We start from the raw sequence: 13845 nt of genomic DNA on the forward strand, positions 1-13845 counted from the left end.
TCTCCCATTATTATTGTGTGGGGTCTAAGTCTCTTTGTAAGTCTCTAAGGACTTGCTTTATGAATCTGGGTGCTCCTGTATTGGCTGCATATATATTTAGGATAGTTAGCTCTTCTTGTTGAATTGATCCCTTTACCATTATGTAATGGCCTTCTTTGCCTCTTTTGATCTTTGTTGGTTTAAAGTCTGTTTAATCAGAGACTAGGATTGCAACCCCTGCCTTTTTTTTGTTTTCCATTTGCTTGTTAGATCTTCCTCCATCCCTTTATTTTGAGCCTATGTGTGTCTCTGCATGTAAGATGGGTCTCCCGAGTACAGCACACTGATGGGTCTTGACTCTTTATCCAGTTTGCCAGTCTTTTAATTGGAGCATTTAGCCCATTTACACTTAAGGTTAATATTGGTGTTTTTTTTGTTTTTTTTTTAGGACGGAGTCTTGCTCTGTCACCCAGGCTGGAGTGCAGTGGCACGATCTCGGCTCACTGCAAGCTCTGCCTCCCAGGTTCATGCCATTCTCCTGCCTCAGCCTCCCAAGTAGCTGGAACTACAGGTGCCCACCACCACGCCTGGCTAATTTTTTTTGTATTTTTAGTAGAGACGGGGTTTCACCATGTTAGCCAGGATGGTCTCGATCTGCTGACCTTGTGATCCACCCATCTTGCACTCCCAAAGTGCTGGGATTACAGGCGTGAGCCACCGTGCCCGGCTAGGTTAATATTGTTATATGTGAATTTGATCCTGTCATTATGATGTTAGCTGGTTATTTTGCTTGTTAGTTGATGCAGTTTCTTCCTAGCATTGACGGTCTTTACATTTTGGCATGTTTTTGCAGTGGCTGGTACCAGTTGTTCCTTTCCATGTTTAGTGCTTCCCTCAGGAGCTCTTGCAGGACAGGCCTGGTGGTGACAAAATCTGTCAGCATTTGCTTGTCTGTAAAGGATTTTATTTCTCCTTCACTTATGAAGCTTAGTTTGGCTGGATATGAAATTCTGGGTTGAAAATTATTTTCTTTAAGAATGTTGAATATTGGCCCCCACTCTCTTCTGGCTTGTGGAGTTTCTGCCGAGAGATCTGCTGTTAGTCTGATGGGCTTCCCTTTGTGGGTAACCCGACCTTTCTCTCTGGCTGCCCTTAACATTTTTTCCTTCATTTCAACTTTGGTGAATCTGACAATTATGTGTCTTGGAGTTACTCTTCTCAAGGAGTATCTTTGTGGCATTCTCTGTATTTCCTGAATTTGAATGTTGGCCTGCCTTGCTAGGTTGGGGAAGTTCTCCTGGATAATATCCTGCAGAGTATTTTCCAACTTGGTTCCATTCTCCCCATCACTTTCCAGTACACCAATCAGACGTAGATTTCATCTTTTCACATAGTCCCGTATTTCTTGGAGGCTTTATTCATTTCTTTTTACTCTTTTTTCTCCAAACTTCTCTTCTTGCTTCATTTCATTCATTTGATCTTCAATCACTGATATCCTTTCTTCCAGTTAATCGAATCAGCTACGAAGCTTGTGCATTTGTCACATAGTTCTCATGCCATAGTTTTCAGCTCCATCAGGTCCTTTAAGGACTTCTCTACACTGGTTATTCTAGTTAGCCATTCATCTAATCTTTTTTCAAGGTTTTTAGCTTCTTTGCGATGGGTTCAAACTTCCCCCTTTAGCTGGGAGAAGTTTGATTGTCTGAAGCCTTCTTCCCTCAACTCATCAAAGTCATTCTTCATCCACCTTTGTTCCATTGCTGGTGAGGAGCTGCATTCCTTTGGAGGGGGAGAGGCACTCTGATTTTTGGAATTTTCAGCTTTTCTGCTCTGTTTTTTCCCCATCTTTGTGGTTTTATCTACCTTTGGTCTTTAATGATGGTGACATATAGATGGGGTTTTGGTGTGGATGTCCTTTCTGTTCATTAGTTTTCCTTCTAACAGTCAGGACCCTCAGCTGCAGGTCTGTTGGAGTTTGCTGGAGGTCCACTCCAGACCTTGTTTGCCTGGGTATCAGCAGCAGAGGCTGCAGAACAGCGAATATTGCTAAACAGAAAATGTTGCTGCCTGATCGTTCCTCTGGAAGCTTCGTCTCAGAGGGGTACCCAGCCATGTGAGGTGTCAGTCTGCCCCTACTGGGGGGTGCCTCCCAGTTAGGCTACTTGGGGGTCAGGGACCCACTTGAGGAGGCAGTCTGTCCGTTCTCAGATCTCCAGCTGCCTGCTGGGAGAACCACTACTCTCTTCAAAGCTGTCAGACAGGGACATTTAAATCTGCAGAGGTTTCTGCTGCCTTTTGTTCAGCTATGCCCTGCCTCCAGAGGTGGAGTCTACAGAGGCAGGCAGGCATCCTTGAGCTGTGGTGGGCTCCACCCAGTTCGAGCTTCCCGGCCGCTTTGTTTACCTACTCAAGCCTCAGCAATGGCAGGCTTTCCTTTCCCAGCCTCACTGCCGCCTTGCAGTTCAATCTCAGACTGCTGTGCTAACAATGAGCGAGGGTCCATGGGTGTGGAACCCTTTGAGCCAGGTGCGGGACATAATCTCCTGGTGTGCCGTTTGCTAAGACCCTTGGAAAAGCGCAGTATTAGGGTGGGAGTGACCCGATTTTCCAGGGGCTGTCTGTTACGGCTTACCTTGGCTAGGAAAGGGAATTCCCTGATCCCTTGTGCTTCCCAGGTGAGGCGATGCCTCGCCCTGCTTCGGCTCACACTCGGTGGGCTGCACCCACTGTCCTGCACCCACTGTCTGACATGCCCCAGTGAGATGAACCCGGTACCTCATTTGGAAATGCAGAAATCACCCGTCTTCTGTGTCGTTCACGCCGGGAGCTGTAGACTGGAGCTGTTCCTATTTGGCCATCTTGGGTCAACAAGTCGTGATTTGAATTTTAAGAAAGCAGAACTAGTGGTTATAAATCTTAGTAGAGTCCAGCTCTGGACTGGACTTTTTGTAAGAAATATATGACAAACCATAAGGCACAGCTATAAACAGAATAATGTACTTATAGAAAGTTGGATAAATGCAGTTCAGGTTGTTACAGGGCTGACCCAAATCATCGCTCTTGGTCCAAGTATAAGGTCTCAAGCTGGTATCCAATGTGACCTCTCAAGAGCCTACAGGTAGGCTGGGTGTGGTGGCTCATGCCTGTAATCTCAGCACTTCGGGAGGCTGAGGCGGGCAGATCACCTGAGGTCAGGAGTTTGAGACCAGCCTGGCCAACATGGCAAACTCCATCTCTACTGAAATCACAAAAAATAGCTGAACATGGTGGTGCACACCTGTAGTCCCAGCTACTTGGGAGGCTGAGGCAGGAGAATCACTTGAACCTGGGAGGCGGAGGTTGCAGTGAGCCAAGATCACACCATTGCACTCCAGCCTGGGCAACAGAGAGAGACTCCACCTCAAAAAAAAAAAAAAAAAAAAAAAAAAAAAAAAAAAAAAAGCCTAGAAGCAAAAGCCAGCACTTCAGTCCAACCTGCTTTGCCCAGCTCTATGTCAAAGAAGGATGTTACTTGGATGATGTTGTATGCTTCTTCTTTGCCAAACAACTGTCTGCAGTATTCATACACAGAAGTGAGCAGATCAGATATGCTTATAACATCCAGGATTCCCATACAAAGCCTTTCTATTGGAAATCAATGCTGTATTAGTATCTAAACTGGTAGCAGTTCTGTTTTACATTCATGAAATGGGATAAATTTTAAATCTTTTTGATAGAATCTAATGAACAAATATGGGTTAATTTTAAAAATGTGAGTTGAGATAATCTAGTTTAAAGTCGCAGCCAAAATAGAAGTCAGCTGTGATTCATCTGAAACTATGTGGACATTCTGAGTGCTGATAACAGAGGAGGGCCTTCCTTTGAAAGTATTATTTTACAAGGTGATTATAGCAAAGCTACAATGAGTATGACAGAAAGCCATAATATATTTTGATACAAAGAAACATTGGCTCTTTAAAAGAAGGTACCAGGAACAGAAGTAACAGTTAAAAATTGGCAAAAGCAATGATCTTTGATATTAAATTTAATTTTCTCTTGCCTTACTGTCTTGACTGTCATACAAATGAAACTCAGCAGACTAGAAATGCTGGAAAAACCATTTTTCTATAACAAAATTACAGTTACCTAGGAGGAATGAGTTCTGGTCTTTGCAGCACTGTGGGGTGAATATGGTTAACTGTAATTTATTGTATATTTTCAGAAAGCTAGAAGAGAGGACTTTGCATGCTCCCAACACAAAGAAATGATAAATGTTTGAGGTGATGGATTTGCTAAGTACCTGATTTGGTCGTTATACATCATATGCATGCATGGAAATATCACTCCGTCTCCCATAAATATGTACACTTATTACATATGTAGAATTATAACACTAAAAGGGAAGAAACAGTATCGTGTGAATCTATTAAAATAATGCCCTTGTTTTGTCTGAGCAGGAAGTCAATAATTTTTTCATGTTCCAAAGAGAAGCTAGATCATGACCTGGGCCTTGAAGGGTCAACAGTGGCCCAGGGAAAAGGACTGTGGGCATGACCTGCAGGAAGAGGAAGCCGGGCTGTGAAACCACAGGGAGGAGAAGTGGAGTTGTGGTGGCAGCAGGGACTGGGGCTGTCTGGAGAAGGCATGAGAAAGTGGGAGTTGCGGCAGTGTCGATTGTAGTTGTCCTTCTGCCTACATGCCATGAGACATATCTTCTCCTGGGCTATGCCAAATTTCAGGACTGCCTCAGGACTCCTTTCCTTGGTATTTACCCAAGAGAAAGGAAAATGCATGTCCACATCGTCTTGTACACTAAGGTTCCTAGCCGCTTTTTATGTAATAGCCAAAAATGGAAAACAATCTAGAAGCTGAAAACAGCCTACATGTCTGGCAACAGGTGGTAAATGGCATGCGACTCAACAATAAAAAGGGATGGACGGATGATGAACATAGCACTGGGGAAGATCTCAAAGTCATTATGCTGAGCAAAACAACGCAGACATCTCCCTTACCCGCACTCCCCAAGTAAAGAGTACATGCTACATAATTCTGTTTATTCATTTATTTATGTGTTTATTTATTTTTGAGACAGAGTCTTGCTCTGTCGCCCAGGCTGGAGTATAGTAGTGCCACTGCTGCTCACTGCAACCTCCACTTCCTGGGTTCAAGCGATTCTCCTGCCTCAGCCTCCTGAATAGCTGGGACTACAGGCGTGCGCCACCATGCCAGGCTAATTTTTGTATTTTTAGTAGAAATGGACTTTCACTATGTTGGCCAGGCTGATCTCAAACTCCTGACCTCAAGTGATCCACCTGCTTCGGTCTCCCAAAGTGCTGAGATTACAGGCATGAGCCACCATGCCCGGCCTATTTATGTTTTATTTTTTAGAGACAGGGTCTCTCACTCTGTCATCCAGGCTGGAGTATAGTCGTGCGATCATAGCTCACTGCAGCCTCGACCTCCTGGGCTCAAGCAATCCTCCTGTCCCAACCTCCCCAGGTTACACCAGGTGAGCACCACTGCACTTCATTAATTAAAAAAATTTTGTTTGTGGAGGCAGGGTCTCACTATGTTGCCCAGGCATAATACATACTTCTGTTTCTATAAAACTATAGAAGACGCAAACTAATGTTTAGTCAAGCAAACAGATCAGTGGTTGTTTGGAGACAAAGTAGAGGGAAGGATGGATTACAAAGTGGCACAAGAATTTTGGGGGTGACGGGAAGTGTTTGGTAAATTGTGTTTTAGTTTCACAGACATGTTCATATGTCAAAACACAAGTGGACAGTTCATTGTAAAAAAAAAAAAGTTAAAACAAAGGTAGTACCCCCAAATAAAAGAACAGGGCCTGCTAGATGGTAAGTTCTCAATAAATGTCAGTTAACGATAATAATAATAGGTAGGTACTACGATTATTCCTAGTTAACAAAGTGGAAACTGAAGCCAAGAGGTTAAGTAACTTGCCCAAGGTCACCTAGTCAGCTGGTGGTGTGTCCAGGATGCAGTCAAACTGCAAGACCTGAACCCCATGGTAGGAAAAAGAGTGTGAAGACAGGGCTAGAAGAACGGGCAGGTCCAGAAAGAAGATTATAAGAGGCACCATGTCAGAGGAGCAGCAAGGCGGACTGGAGGGCAGTGGGTGTGTGAAGAAGAGCTTCCACTGAGAACATTCTATGGGCATTTTGTATCAAGTACAGGAACTTGCCTTTTCTCACTCAGTCATTAATTCACATACCATAAAATTCACCCATTTGAGGCTGGGCGTGGTGGCTCACGCCTGTTAATTCCAGCCCTATGGGAGGCCAAGGTGGGTGGATCACTGGAGGCAAGAGGTTGAGACCAGCCTGGCCAACATGGTGAAACCTTGTCTCTACTGAAAATACGAAAATTTGCTGAGCGTGGTGGCGCATGCCTGTAATCCCAGCTACTCCACAGGCTGAGGCAGGAGAATTTCTTGAACCTGGGAGGTGGGGGTTGCAGTGAGCCGAGATCTCACCCACTGCACTCCAGCCTGGGCAACAGAGCAAGACTCTGTCTCAAAAAAAAAAAAAAATTACCCATTTGAAGTATACAGTTCAGTGGGTTTTAGTATATTCACAGGGTTGTGCAACCATCACCACAGGTTAATTTCAGTGTTTTTGGCACTCCCCCAAAAAACCTGTACGTATCAGCTGTCACCCCCCGTCTTCCTCCCTTACTTCTTCAGCCGTAACCACAGATCTACTTTTCATCACTATAGACTTGCATATTCTGAACATTTCACATGAATAGAATCATGTAATATGTGGTCTCTTCTGCCTGACATCTTTCACTTAGTATAATGTTTTCAAGGTTCATCATGTTGTAGCATATATCAGTAACTCATTTCCTTTTATGGATGAATAATACTCTATTGTATGGATATACCGCATTTTGTTTATCCAATCGTCAGTTGATGGCCATGGGTTGCTTTCAGTTTTTGGCTATTTTGAACAACGCTGCTATTCTCAATCAGTTTTATTTCAACAACTAATGGTTATTTCAACTGGTAAAGAGAGAGGCATATATCAATCACAGGCACAGATACGATCTGAGTAGACGGCTATTTATTTGCAGATCATCTGGTTCATTTTGTATTTAACAAAATATGTGGAGACTTTTTTGACATATTTTTCTGTGCAGTAAAGAACTTAGACTTAGGTTACAGGTATCAATGATAGTGCTGCCTAATTACTTGTGTTTAGGAAAATTGTTTGCAAAGGAATTGATAACTTTTATTGAGTGCTTCCTATTAGGTTGATGTATTTTTTCCAGTATAATTCTTACACTATTCTGTGTGCTCAGTTTTAATACCCTTAATATAAATGAGACTTCTGAGGCACATGGATGTTGTAGCACGTACTGCGGTGCCTGCCTCCAAGTTCACCCACAGGTGCGTACTGGCAGCTTCTCATTTTAACCACCAGTCTCTCTGCTTCTCAGCCTGAGGCTTTCTCAGACTGTCTGAAAATCCCTTAGCAGTGCTAGGGATCTAATCACTCCAGGGCAACCCTAAACTGTTGAAGTGACTACATGCTCAGCTTTCCTTCTTCCTTCCAGACGTTCTACATGAGAGGTCAGCAAACTTTTGCTCTTAGGACCAGAAAGTAAATATTTTCAACTCTGTAGGCCATACAGTCTATGTAGCAACTATTCAACTCTGCCATTTTAGCATGAAAGTAACAATAGACGGTACCAAAAGAATGGGCTTGGCTATGTTCCAATAAAACTTTATTTATAAATAGACATTGTGTGGGTTGGATTTGACCTGCTGACTGTAGTTTGCTGACGCCTATTCTCCATGATTTCTTAGAAGATTCCTAACGGAGTTGAACCCCAGTTGCACCGAGAGGTAACCCATTCGTTACCATACCCTTTTTTACTGGCCTTTCTTTCTTCCCTGTGTCTTTATTTACATGCCTATATTTTTGCTTCCTGGGGTCTCCAACCAGACAAACTCCCTGTCCCAAATTCCTTCTCTCAGGATCTGTTTTTGGGGGAACCAAATTGACAAACCAGGACAATACGATATTACACCAGGCTGAGAATATGCATATGAAGAGATCAGAGGCTGTGGCGTGAGTCTGAGGCGCAGTTCTGCACCTGAATGACCCTGGGCAAATAACTTCACCTCTTTGTGCCTCATTTTCCTCATCTGTAAAATGGGTATTGTCACAGAACCTACTGAAAAAAGTTGTTAGGAGGATTTTATGTGTTAATTTGTGTAAAACAGAAGCATGCCTGATAATAGAGGATTTCTTATTATAAGCCATAGAGACTTGTGAATGGTTCATAAAGTTTTTCATTCATTTATGGAAAGACCCTTTATGCCGTCTTTGCAAAAAAAAAATAGGATTGAGTTAATGGATTTTTCAAAAAATTCTTAAGACTTCATTTTTTTAGAGTAGTTTTAGGTTCACAGCAAAATTGAGAAGAGGCTACAGATATAGCCACCTGCCCCCTCCCCTCCCGCCCCCTACATGCACAGCCTCCCCCAATAGCAACATTCCCCACCAGAGTGGTCCATTTGTTACAATTGATGAACCAACATTGACACATTATTCTCACCCAAAATTCATAGTTTACATTAGGACTCATTCTTGGTGTTGTAAATCCTGTGAATTGGACAAATGTACAATGACATGTAGTCACTTTTTTTTTTTTTTTTGAGACGGAGTTTCGCTCTTGTTGCCCAGGCTGGAGTGCAGTGGTGTGATCTCGACTCACTGAAACCCCCACCTCCCAGGTTCAAGCGATTCTCCTGCCTCAGCCTCCCAAGTAGCTGGGATTACAGGCACTTGCCGCCATGCCCAGCTAATTTTTATATTTCTTTTTTAGTAGAGACAGGGTTTCACCATGTTGGCCAAGCTGGTCTCGAACTCCTGACCTCAGGTGATCCACCCTCCTCGGCCTCCCACCAATGCTGGGATTACAGGTGTGAGCCACTGCGCCTGGCCTATTCACCATTTTAAATTATTTATTGTGAGAAATATAAATAGCTGAACAATACAATGTACTTTTCCCCAGTTTGGCCTTGATGATTTGAAAATATATTGTCCTTTGTGTTCAAAAAACACAAAGAATTCCTGTCTTTGGGCGCTATTTACTGTATACTGAAATATTTATGAATGAAATAGCATATCAGGGATTGTTTTTAAAAATGATCGTGGGAAGAGAAGTGGGTGTGGATACTGAAATAAGATTGGTCCCGAGCTGACACTGGTTGAAATTGGGTGATGGAACCTGGGAGTTCATTAGAATATTCTCTCTACTTTCCTATTTGACATTTTCCATAAATATAGGTGGTTAAAAAAATACATGGCCTCAGAATCTATAAACAAAACTTTGCTGCTATAAGAACTGCATTATAAGAAGGAAGGAGGGGAATTATCTCCAGCTACATCCTGGGGACCACCACCCTAATTTGTTAACATATCAGAACTACAGGCTCTTTTTTATTCTTGTGCCCAAGACTCTCCGCGAGATTTATCTTCTGTGGTCACAGCAGGGGAAGGAACCTTGTGACACTCTGCTAGGGAAGAGGAGAGGCGGTGACACTCAGCCAAGTTAGGGAAGTGGACTTTCGATATTTGAAAAGGCCATTCAAAACAACATTTGAAAGAAGTCAGAGTATTTGTTCAGTGAAACACTTAGGATCTATAAAATGGTTATAGTGTTTGTCCAGGAGAATAAACACTGAAAATCTGTAGAGGGGTCACAGCCTTTGCCCAGAGGAGTAAATCATTCAGATACAATTTTTAGCTATTACAATACTGACATGGAGTTCAGGTGATAATGGGTATGTACTTTTACCATGTCCCTCCCTGTGACTGTACAAACCTACATACTGACACCTATGTGTTCTCAGACTATGTATAAGCCTTTCCCTGTATTACAGTGCTCATCATCACTGTAGGGGACCTTTGAAAGAGCTGCCGGAGAAGGTGAGGAAGAAAGCCCTGCCTGGAAAGCAACAGTGAACCACCAGTGTCAGCAACGTGAAGCTTGCTGCAAGGCCTGCAGTCATGATGAACCCAGCAGCTTCTAGTTCATCCCAGTGGCCCTGAGACTATTTATCCTGTGACTTCACACGCGCTTGGAAGTTTTGTTGTGATCTTCGCTGAGTCTGTGCGGAAATCACAGGCTAGATTTTAGATTTTTTACTTTTCAGCATGTGACTTAAAGTTCTGTTGACTTGGGGAAAGGGCTGATAATCTTGTGCTAAATCACTGATGGAATATAAATTAAAATCTCCATCTCTCAGTCAATCCAAGTGTCCATCAATGGTAGACTGGATAAAGAAAATGTGGTACATACACACCATGGAATACTATGCAGCCATAAAAAGAAACGAGATCACGTCCTTTCTAGGAACATGGATGGAGCTGGAAACCATTATCCTCAGCAAACTAACAAAGGAAGAGAAAACCAAACACCACATGTTCTCATTTATAAGTGGGAGCTGAACAATGAGAACACGTGGACACAGGGAGGAGAACAACACACACTGGGGCCTGTCACGGGGCGGGGTGAGGGGAGGGAGAGCATTAGGAAAAACAGCTAATACATGCTAGGCTTGATATCTAGGCGATGGGTTGGTAGGTGCAGCAAACCACCATGGCACACATTTACCTATGTAACAAACCTGCACATCCTGCACATGTACCCTGAAACTTAGAAATAAAAATTTTTCAAAAGGGAAAAATAAAATGTCCATCTCTTGAATCCTGGTTTTTTACTTATCCCACATGGCCCTGTCGTTTGCACAGATTATGTGATGGTTTTGAGTTGATGGGGGCTGCAGAAAAATTGTGCTAATTTACAGTGAAAATCAAATCAAGACATTTGATTGATGATGTGTGATCAAAATTGTGCACGGCTAGATGTGCTGATTGATGACGTGGTTTTGGATATGCCGTGTATTGTCTCAGCTGCAGGTAATTGGAATCCATATGCATTAGCTCCATTCCTCTCCCACTGTGGCATGCAGACATTTTGCATTCGGAGCCAGTAATTTGGTGCCTTTTCCGACAAGTTTGGAATGAAAGCATGAATGCTAAATTTTGGAATACCACAGTGTGATATGAAAAGCATATTACTAATTAATGGAATAGAACCAGGTAGGAATTTCTTGGACAGATAAGAGAGAAATGGTGTTTTTAATCTGGAGGTGATCCTGAGTAATTCTTCTGAGCTCAGTTTTTAACTGACAAATCTTAATATCAGACTTTATTAAAAACGTTTTCAAAGTGGCATGTGCAATTAAAGCTTCATCAAGGAGAGGCACTGCATGTCATTACTGGTAATAGAATCCTGCTCCTGTAGTTTTTAATTCCCACTTTTCTGAAATGAAACACAACCAGTTATGTAGTATAATATGTAAAATCTACTAGGGAATTCAATAATTTTGCAATTAAGCTTGAGGTATTTTAAAATCATTTTGTCTATTAAATATGTCACTATAACTGTTTAATCATGACTTGAATAAGAGACAGGAGAAAGCATATCTGGGAAAATGCAAATGGTTGATGAGTAGAAGAATTGACTAAGGTTGATGTGTAGAATAGTGGTAAATTCTACAGAACCTTAGAGCTCCTTCAAGGGAGGGATAAACATGAGCCACGCCTGGGAGACAGTTTGTATATTTTGAGAAGATTGGATGGTTACTGTGGTTAGCTTGGTATGTGGCCAGGGACAGCAGAAAATAAGGATGAGTTCAGCTAAAAGTAATAGAATGCCTAATTTATAGTGGCTTGTATCGTCATTTCTCATTTTGACATCCTTAACAACATTGCCAGGGAGCCCGTTATTAATGTAGATTATCAGGCTCCACTTCAGCCCTGCAAAATCAACATTCCCATTGTAAGGAGATTTCCAAGCGATTCATAGGCCCATTAAACTCTGGTCTAGAAAACAGAGATACTTAGATATCTCACAGAATAAGGATAGGAATGCAAGCAGTTCCAGAGTGGCTGGATCTAAATCACCAATAACAGGCTTTTGTCTCATTCCACTTTGCAATCCCTAGCATGTTGACTTTGGCCTTTTGTTGTGTGGCCTCAGGATTCCAAGATGGCTGCTGTGGCTCCTCGCACCAGTGCATTCTAGGTAGGAGAGGAGGGGCAGACGTCTTCTAATATCTCATTGGCCAGACGTGGGTCACATGTTGACTTTTTTTTCTCTTTTAACCTTTCCTATGGTACTGAACATGTTGACTTTTAGATGACTCACTTGGGAAGATAAAAGGATTAACATTACTAATTTATACATTCATTCATTCAGTAAAAAAAAAAAAAAAATTGCCTACTATGTGCCAACTCATGAGCATTCCATGGGGCTACAGCTGAGATCAAAGGTCTACGTCTATTGTCTGAACAAAATTAGGGTTATTTTAGTGAAGAGGAAATGGGAGAATCATTATTAGGTAGAATTAATATCAGTCACAGGTAGGTTGAGGCCAGATTTGGAAGGGTCTTGGAAGTCATGTCAAGAATGGACGGAGACCAGTGAGGATACCTTTGAGGTGATTCAAGTTAGAGATGATGAGGACCGGCCTAGGATAATAGTGGCTGCGATGGAGGAAGGGATGCTTTGAAGGTCGGCTCTGAGGCGGAAGTGCCTACTTAGTGATACTGTATGTGGGCGATGAAGAGGCGGGGTGATTCACTGAAACTCTGATGGGATCCCTCACTCAGCTGTCTCAGAACAGCTGACATGAAAAAAAAAAAATCTATGTATCATATGACTCTTAGCAGTGGATTTTTTTTTTTTTTGAAACAGTCTTTTTTTTTTTTTTTGAGACGGAGTCTCTCTCTGTCGTCCAGGCTGGAGTGCAGTGGCGTGATCCGATCTTGGCTCACTTAGCAGTAGATTTTTTTAAAACCTATGTATTTAACACATACATAATCAGGTGATACAAAGCTCTGTAATCTAGATTTTCCACCTGATGTGTCATGTACCGATTTCTGTCAGTACATGTAGAACTATCTCATCTTTCTTTAACTCACTTTTTATTTTTATTTGAAAAATGTTGTAAAACACAAGTTAAAAACCATGTATAATCTAATAAATTTAAGAAACTATAAAAAGTAAAAAAAGAAATCACCCCTTCATTTTACTTCTGGAGCATGTATCTCTCCCAGTTTTTTTCCAAAGGTAGCGCAGACTTAATGAGAGATTCCCATGAACTGCACATACATACCTCTCTATGTGTATACAGTTGTCCCTCAGTGTATGTGGGGATGAGGGCATTGGTTTTACCACCCCTGTGGATACCAAAATCCATGGATGCTCAAACCCCCGATATAAAATGACATAGTATTTGCCTGTAACCTGTGCCCACCCTCCTATATACTTTAAATCATCTCTAGATTACTTATACTACTCAATACAGTGTAAATGCTACATACATAGTGTTATACTGTTTTGTTCAGGGAATAGTTATAAGAAAAAATGTCTGTACATGTTCAGTACAGACACAACCATCCTTTGTTTTTTCCAAATATTTACAATCCACGGTTGGTTGAATCCACAGATGCGAAACCCATGGGTAAAGAGGGTCAACTGTATATAAATTACAATGTGTTACAATGTGCAGTTTCCACTGTGACTCTTTTTTACAAAAATTTCTGCCCTTTGTTATGAGCACCTGTGGTCCAAGAATAAGCAGTGTTTAAGAGAGCTTTACCTCAAAGTTTACACTTTTCATTTTTCTATTATGCATATAGATTATAATACATATTGTCAGGGCTGGCCGTGGTGTCTCACGCCTGTAATTCCAGCACTTTGGGAGGCTAAGGTGGGAGGATTGCTTGAGTCTAGGAGTTTGAGACCAGCCTGGGCAACATAGTGAGACCTTGTCTCTATTTA

General features: G+C 42.1%; 1 protein-coding gene across 18 annotated transcripts in view, besides 1 other annotated feature; it reads left to right on the forward strand.

Annotated features, from left to right (window-relative positions):
- The window catches only part of TBC1D1 (TBC1 domain family member 1), a 248090-nt gene that overhangs the window by 51048 nt on the left and 183197 nt on the right, over positions 1-13845 (forward strand). The window lies entirely within an intron of this gene.
- Positions 11629-12828: an enhancer, noted in NCBI's record as "BRD4-independent group 4 enhancer chr4:37955381-37956580 (GRCh37/hg19 assembly coordinates)". NCBI's record gives its function as "activates an origin of replication core promoter dependent on BRD2, P300/CBP, MED14 and CDK7 cofactors, and independent of BRD4, by STARR-seq in HCT116 cells {active_cell/tissue: HCT116}" and the evidence as "EXISTENCE:reporter gene assay evidence [ECO:0000049][PMID:35650434]".

The sequence above is a fragment of the Homo sapiens genome, chromosome 4 (assembly GCF_000001405.40).
Source record: "Homo sapiens chromosome 4, GRCh38.p14 Primary Assembly".
Taxonomy (NCBI): Eukaryota; Metazoa; Chordata; class Mammalia; order Primates; family Hominidae; genus Homo; species Homo sapiens.